Source organism: Homo sapiens, chromosome 2 (assembly GCF_000001405.40).
Source record: "Homo sapiens chromosome 2, GRCh38.p14 Primary Assembly".
Classification (NCBI taxonomy): Eukaryota; Metazoa; Chordata; class Mammalia; order Primates; family Hominidae; genus Homo; species Homo sapiens.
The window spans coordinates 238,941,327-238,949,751 of record NC_000002.12 but is presented as its reverse complement, the minus strand read 5'-3'; the positions used below and the strand labels follow the sequence as shown (position 1 = coordinate 238,949,751).

Below are 8,425 nucleotides of genomic sequence, written 5' to 3'. Positions count from 1 at the left end.
TCTTTGGGAGCTTCAGGAGCCAAAGAATCCAGTATAGTTACCCTGGTGAGAATTTAGGACTGGGTTTGGTTTTGAATTTTTTCTTTTTAAGGAAGACACTTTTTTATTGTATTGTTTGAACATTGAGTCAGCTGGGAACAAAGGAATGCAAGTTTGTCCTAAACAGGACTGTCTTCCGGCAGGAAAAGCACCCAGGAAAAGTGGCCACAGGGTTTTAGCTGCGGGGATGATCTTAGAGGAAAGAAACACAGTGAGCTATGCTGGTGCACAGCCAGGCTGGATGCAGAGTGGAGCCGTCCCTGCCAGGAAACCACCTGGGAGACAGTGCTCCCTCACCCTGCAGGTGGCTTCCAGGGGGAGAATCTGCCCCCTTCAGAATGGCATGAGGATGGAATCCTGCATAGCACCAACAGTGACCAGCCTCAGGCATGGGTGCAGGGGTGAGCTAGCCTCATCCACAGCTTCCACAGTGAACTAGCTTTATCCACACACAATGATGACCTACCCTCAACCAAAGCTCCAGGGGTGAGCTAGCCTCATCTACACGCAATGGTGAACTAGCCTCATCCATAGCTTCCACAGTGAGCTAGCCTCATCTGTAGCTCCAACAGTGGGCTAGCCTCATCCGTACATTGATGGTGAGCTAGCCTCATCCACAGCACCAGCACCAACAGTGAGCTAGCCTCATCAGTGGCTCCAACGGTGACTAGCTTCATCCACAGCTCCAGAAGTAAGCTAGCCTTATCCACACACTGAGGGTGAGCTAGCCTCATTTGCACATCAATGGTGAGCTAGCCTCAGCCACAGCACCAATGATGAGCTAATCTAATGTCGTGCAAGTGTTCAGTCCAGACATTCTGATCCCTCCTCAGGGATGACAAATGGAATACTGCACACAACTTACAATGAAAAATCACCCAATTTTTAAAACTCAACAAATTTTTAAAGTGCTTTTACTGGCCACATACAGAAAGAAACAGTTTCACAGCAAACCTTGCTCCAGACTGCTGTGGTAAAGGATGGAGAGGTGGGGACAGGAGTGGAGGAGGGAGTGGGATGGCCATAGGAGGGGAGGGGAAGCTGGGTCCAGCAGCCCAGGATGTGGTCATGGTGTGACTGGTGCTGAGTAACTGGGAGGACTCAAGAGTGACGATGCCTGGACATCCTTCTATCTCTGACTCATGTTGGGAAGGTCTTTCAAACTCTTTTCATCTTGCAGAGAGGCAGAGCATTCTGGAGACCAACACTTCCTGGGCGGCGCTCAGAGTGGGTGACTCTGCAGAGAGCACCTGCCAGGTGTGATCTCGGACTCAGAGTTCAATCTGCATTTAGCTGACAATGAACTGCAAACTCTGAAAATGTTCACAGCCATGGAGAATAATCTAGAAATCCTCAGTCCATTGGGAAACAGTGTGGGTCAGGGAGTGTAACCAACAGCTGGAGGTGAAGCTGGGACCAGTCAGTGAGGTTAACCACACCAGGGAAGAGGAAGAGAAACCAGTCAGGGCCAAAACGGAGCTTTCATCGATGTCTGAGGGGGCCTTGTCCATCCTGTTTGTGGATTTGGTTGTGTGTGCCTGGGTATTAATTTCTTAGGGCCACTGTAACTGCAAACTGGGTGGCGTAAAATGACAGAAACTCACTATCTCACAGCTCTGGAGAACAGAAGTCCAAAACTAAGCTGTGGGCTGGGCCGTGCTCCCTTGGAAGGCTTGGGGAGGCTCCTTCCTGCCTCTCCCAGCTTTGGGTGGCTCCGCCCCTCCTTGGCTGGTGGCTGCAGCACTCCAATCTCTGCCTTCTGCTCTGTCTTCACACGGCCTTCCCTCTGTGTCTCTGTGTCCTCTTCTCCTCTTATAAGGACAACAGTGATGAGATTTGAGGCCTACCCCGCATGCAGATAATCTGATCTCAAGATTATCACCTTAATTACATCTGTAAAGACCTTATTCCTAAATAAAGTTGCCCTCTGAGTTCTGAGTGGACATGAATTTGCAGGGCAGGCTACTCTTCAACCCACTATGGTAAGTACCTAATTTGCTGCATATCTATTTTACCTGTATTAGTACTGATGGCAGTGGCTGTGCCACGCGGCCTGCCGCTGCCATCACATCAGCTGCAACAGGGAGGTGCAGCTGGGGTTGCACATTCTGTGGAACCAGCGGGAGCTGGAGACAAGTGAGAGCCCCACCTCTTCCAAGTTGGGATGGGAGCTCCCCAGGTGCTGCTGCAAACTCTGCCCTAAGCACGGCTGCCCAAAGCTGCAGACCCGGGCCTCCCGCTCCACTGAGCAGGCAGGGGCTCTGCCCTCCTGAGAGGGGGCTGCAGCCACCCAAATTGTGGCTGCAGACCTGGGCCTCCCGCTCCACTGAGCAGGCAGGGGCCCTGTGCTCCTGAGGGGGGGCTGCAGCCACCCAAATTGTGGCTGCAGACTTGGGCCTCCTGCTCCACTGAGTAGGCAGGGGCTCTGCCCTCCTGAGAGGGGGCTGCAGCCGCCCAAATTGTGGCTGCAGATCTGGGCATCCCGCTCTGCAGAGCAGGCAGGAGCCCCGCCCCTGCCCCAGGCACAGCTGTAGCCACCCAAACTGGGGCTGCAGACCTAGGCATCCCTGCACTCTTGGGGGGGCCTGGGAAGGCACTCTTGAGGGGGCCTGGGAAGGAACCCTTGTCCTTGCAGGCTCAGTGGTTTCTGGTCCTGCTGCCTAGCCTCTCCCCACTCCTGGCACCCACTTTGATCTCAGAGCAGAGGTGGGGCCAAGCCCAGGCACTTTCACAGCCCAACCAGGTGTGCACACACTTGGGGCAGTGCTGACATGCCAGCCCCCTGCCCCTTCAGCCCCCTCTGGACTTTGGGCACTGAGGAGCATGGGAGGAGAAGCTGAAGGAGAGTTGAGGGCAGCTGGGCACTGGCCTGCAGGTGCCCCTTGGTGCCAGCAACCTGGGTGCCATGAATGGCCACGGGAGGCAGACAGGCTCCTGGGCAGAAGGGGGAGGGTCCCCAGTGAAGCCCCAGCTTCAGGCCAGGGCAGGCATAAAGCCTGGGGGCTGGGCTGCCAGTTCTGAGGACCAGAGGGGGACATCATGGTGCTTTCTCCTGGGCCCATGCATGGCTGCCTGTGGACCAATCAGCATGCACTTCCCTGCTCTGAGGCCCAAAAAAGCCCCAGGCTCAGCCAGAGCAGGACAGAGGACAGAGAGATGACAGAAAGGATGGATGACTAGCTGCAAAGAGGAGCTACCATCTCTGCTGATAGCGGCAGACAACAGGATAACCAGCTGCAGAGAGGAACCGCCCACTCCAGGGCCTCCTCTCTGCTGAGAACTGAACACTCAACAGGACGACCTTCCCACAGAGAGGAGCTACCCACTGTGGGTCTCCTCTGAGCTATTCTAACACTCAATAAAACTCCTCTTCATCTTGTTTACCTTCTACTTGTCTGTGTACCTCATTCTTCCTGGACACAGGACAAGAACTCGGGCAAAGGTACCACTGGCCACAGAGGTTTCTGGCCAGAAAAGCAACACCCTAAAGATCCCATAACAGACCAAGATGGAGAAAGTGGTACTTACTCAATCTTTTCTTAGGGGACATCGTTTATGAAGCTGGTGGGAACAGGATAACCAGATTGGGTGGGCGATGAGACCCTCAGGGGCACACTTAGCACCAGTAAGTAACTGGCAATAATAAGCTGCTGGTTTAGCAGAGGCCAGCAGGGTTTCCTCCAAGGCTCGTGTGTTGCTGCTTGGGTTTTGCAGGGCTGAGGCCACAGCCCTGTTACAGGGACAAGCAGTGAACCACGGCCAAGGAGGGAAGTGCAGAGTGGGGCCTGCCTGCTGGTGGCACCAGAGAGCAAGGCAGGCTGGAGGGTATCCTCTGGGTAGGCTGCAGGAGTCCTCTGCCCTTCCCTATAAAATCTTAGGTGAAATCCAGATTTTGCTCTAGTGCTTGGCAGAAAATTGTTCTTCCTGGAGAATTCTCTGAGACATACATCAAGGATAAAGGGAGGCAAGAACTGAATTTACATGGAAAGAAAACCAACAACCAGGATGTCAGCCCAGCTCTCGCTTGCAAAAAACTCAAGAGCTTGCAGCCAGGGGTGGGGCTGTGGCCATGGTGCTGGGGGATCAGTTCCTGTCAACCAGTAGCCCTTGCTTAAAAATAAAAAAGGTGGAAGGGGCTTTTGGTCTCTGGGAAGGTGTGTCCTTGAACTGTCTAGGCCCCATGACATTTGGAATCTAGATTCTGGCAGGCATTAGGCCAGCAGCAACTGGTGGGGTCGAAAGACAGGTCTGGGCCTGTCCTTGTCCTGGAGTGTCCATGATGTGGTCTTATGGATGACCAGATGTGCTGCTCACAACCACCATGTAAGAAGGGTGGGGTAGTGGCCGTTAATATTATCTCAGTGCCATGGTTTGGATATTTGTCCCTTTCAAAATTCTGTCGAAATTTAATCCCCAATGTGCCAGTATTAAGATGTGGGACATTTAAGAGGTGATTGGGTCATGAGGGCTTTCCCCTAATACATGGATTAATCCATCCAAGGATTAATGGATCAATTGGTTATCACAGGAGTAGGACTGGTGGCTTTATAAGGCAAACCTGAGCTAGCACACGAGCATGCTCAGCCCCTTCACCATGAGATGGCCTGTACCACCTCAGGACTCTGCAAAGAGTTCCCACTAGCAAGAAGGCCCTCACCAGATGAAGCCCCTCAACCTTGGACTTCTCAGCCTCCATAACTTAAAAAAAAATTCCTTTTCTTTATAAACTACCCAGTTTCAGGTGTTCTATTGTAAGCAACAGAAAACAGACTAAGACACTCAGCATTCTGAGGAAGAAACTGAGTCTCAGTGTTGGCCCCAAGATAGCCCAGCCATGAGATGGCAGAGCCTGATTTCAAAGCCAGGTCATCAGGGATCTGCCATCTCTCACCTTTGAATTCTCTGAATCTCAATCCAGAGCTTTTCCTAGTACAATGTGTTTCCTCTACATCACATATGATGGGCAAGAGATCATGACTTTTATTTTATTTTATTTTATTTTTATTTTACAGTTTTGTAGAGACAGGGTCTTACTATGTTGCCCAGGCTGGTCTTGAATTCCGAGCCTCAAGCCATTCTTCTGTCTCAGCCTCCCAAAGTGCTGGGATTACAGGCAGGAGCCACTGCGCCCGGCCAAGATCATGACTTTTATTGGGAACATCTATTGGCTGCCTGTCTGTTTTGCCCCAGATGTGCCATATCTGTTAACCACCTCATAGTTCTTAGGGGGAAAGGCCTTCCTGGCTCCCTTCCAACTTGCCACTCATTGCCATGCTTGTGCCCACCTTGCGGCTGATAGAGAAGTGCCATAGCTAGCTTCTAACATTCCAGGATTCTGTCATCTTCACTTCTGCCTGGGAGCCCCCTTCTGCAATAGCATCCCCCCAACCTTCCCTGGCCTAAAGAGGATGCACCCCACGGAGCTCAGGGACACTGGCACCCCCTCACTGGCACGTTCCTGTGACTCCACAGCTCGGCGTGTGGCCCCTTCCTCCCCCTGCAGCCCTGCAGGCCCTGGTCGGGTGATGTTGCCCCTCAAATCCACTTGTTGTCTGGTGACCAGGAGGGGAGGTGGGGATTAATCCTTTGTGTGGGGTGTTGTGTGTGTGTGTGTGTGTGTGTGTGTGTGTGTGTGTGTGTGTGCTGTCTTGTAAAGCAGAGGCCTCTGTGTCTTCCCCAAGCAAGGGCAGAGCCCTAGGTTTTAACCAGGGAGGAGGGGGCATGTCCACAGCTCCAGTGGGTCAGGGCATCCAGGGTTCCCACATTTTCATGTGCATGGACTTGGCTATTCCCAGTCCATATCTCAGCATCCCAGTCCGCTGTTCCAGTTGGGCCTTGACTTTGGTGGAGACTGGCAGGATGGCCTGGGCCTGAGCCCAATCAGACAGCCCAGTTGGGAGCAGGATCTGTGGTGGGACCCAGACGTAGCAGGGCCTGATTAGAAGTGGCTGAGTGAACCAGGGAGGGCGGAGGGAGAGGGGCAGAGATACTAAGTCGTCTGTCTCTGCCCCATTCCGTAAAGTGTCATAAAATCTAAATCAGAATCACTGCTGGGGTAGAGTTAATAGACGGGGAGGGAAAATGAAATAGGGTTCTTGTAGAACAGGTCCCCAAACTGACCGTGCACAAGAATGCTGAGACGTCGACAGACACACAGAGGCACATGAGGCAGTAAAACGTGCGTTAGTGACAAACGTGCCAGCACTGTGCCCCGACCACCGGTCCTGAAGGAGACTTTCCTAGGAAACAAACAGATCAAGGAGGAAATGAAGACCAGGGAACAATCACACTTAAAATGGAATTGAAATGGTTAGGATCACAACAGCACTTAAAAAGATTTCCAGGCCTTTGAATATCTTCTTTATCAAAATAAGAAAAGAAAAGGATCAAACGGAGTCTGCAACCTATGATCTTAAGATCATAAGAAAATCTAAGAAAATCGGAGGGAAACATAACAAGTAGAAACAGATGGATTTATATATGAGAAAAACTTAAATGAGTCACTAAAACGAAGAGCTCGTCCAAACAAAACAAATTAGAGGGGTATTCAGAATTAACCTAGAGCAAGGCTTCTTGACCACGCGCTGTGATGCTCCTAGCTGGCTCACGTTTTGTGCCAGGGGCCACCCTGTGCACTGTGGGGTGCTCCACGCCCACCCTGGCTCCTCCCACCAGATGCCAGGAACATTATTTCCCCCCAAGTCGTGACAAGCAAAAATGTCTCCAGACTTTGCCAAATATCCCAAAGGAAAAAAAAAGTCATTCCTGGTCGAGAATGACTGCCCTCAAATTAAAAAAAAAAATGATCAGGAAGCCCGGTGTATGTGGTAGGTGATCTGGCTGATCTTACCCTTTTAAGGAACGAGTCATTTTTATGGCATATAATTTGCCTCTAGGCGTTCTTTGAGATATATGTCATGTGATTAGAAAACTTGAAAATGATTTAAGACACAAAATTATTATTCTGGGGGTTTGGCCGTGAGCAGGGGATGGAGGAAGAGCAGAGACCAGCTGGGAAACATGGCTTCCTTAAGCAGGGCTTGGAAAGAGGTACCCAGGAGGAGTAGTATCTTGTTGACAGGTAATGACAATAGAAGCTCTGATTACACAACATCTTCTAGAATGATTACATTGTGGAGGAGAAGGACATAAAAATGTCACCCAACTGTGGTCAGAAACGAGCAGCTCGTGGGCACCACCAGCGTCACCTCACCAGTGCTGGGCAGCGCGAAGCTCCTCTGCTTCACCTGGCTCTGCAGGAGGAGCCGGCTCCTTCCAGGCATTGCCGCGGGCAGGCTCCCTGGCCACAGTACCACCCATCCATACAGGCGCCATGGGGGCTGCCCTCCACCTTGGTTGTTTCCTGCTCTGGCCCGTTCACTGTGTTCACCTCCTTCCCAGTAGCCAGAAGGGCCTCCCGGTTGCTCTGCTGATGCTGTGCTAAGGAGAGTATCCATGCCTGTATCCCGGGAGCTGCCTCCGGGGCTGCACATCTCCAGGCCTCCGGATCAGAGCCGGGTCGTGTTCTAGGAGATCCTGTTCCTTGTCCGGCTTGAGTTGCTACAAGCTCCTGGGCTTCCTGGCTCATGGACGTCCGATGGGGAAGAAGGGCTCCTTCACCCAGCAACAGGAGCTCAGCCGAAAGCTTCTGCTTGCTGCATTTTGCTCTGGGGACCCAGCCTGTGTTGTGCCTGCGATGGAGCACTTCCAGGACATACACGTCCATCCTTGCCCACTTCTGTGCAACTGCTGAAGCCAATGCTAGGGATTTGGTCTCAATTTTCAAAGTAAAGTTTGTATTCTTAACGGTCCACAGAGTTACTCTAACTCCACAGTGAGCAGCTCATCTATTTACTCAGGGTGACCCAATAGGTAGGTGACATGCTTTCAGCCTAGGCCCATTGTCCCCGTGTCATTGTTAATATCCTTTCATTTACAGAGGTGACCCAGGTTGGACAAAACCTCTGTGCTCACCCCTGGATGCTAGTGTGCTGGGGAATCCCTCTCAAGACACCTGGAAATCTAAATCCTTCTAAGCACTAAACCATACAGACAGTTGATCATTTTGGGTGGAAATCCTCGTGGACTCTGCCTTCTTAAGGAGACTTCGTGGCAGGAATAGTTCCTTTCTTGATGACTCGGCCTTCCTCCGTTCTGCCCTGGCCTGTGGGGCCCAGCTGGGCCTCTGTCCGAATGCCTTTCTGCCTTCCAGTGGTCCATACCCTCCACTTCCTTTGTCCAGTGATCTTTGCAGAGCAGTTGGCATCATGGCTGCAGCATTGCTCCTGGCTGGAAGGGTCCACCCCTGTATATCACTGTCTTCTGGGACCTGCTGTGGCTGAAGATGCAGGGATGGGTCAATGCAGTCCGTACCTGGGAGGGCTTC

General features: G+C 52.0%; 1 annotated feature.

Moving 5' to 3' along the window:
• Positions 6,945–7,445: an enhancer, noted in NCBI's record as "H3K4me1 hESC enhancer chr2:239864003-239864503 (GRCh37/hg19 assembly coordinates)". NCBI's record gives its function as "activates a minimal SCP1, AML or CMV promoter by ChIP-STARR-seq in primed H9 embryonic stem cells {active_cell/tissue: H9 hESC(primed)}" and the evidence as "EXISTENCE:reporter gene assay evidence [ECO:0000049][PMID:30033119]".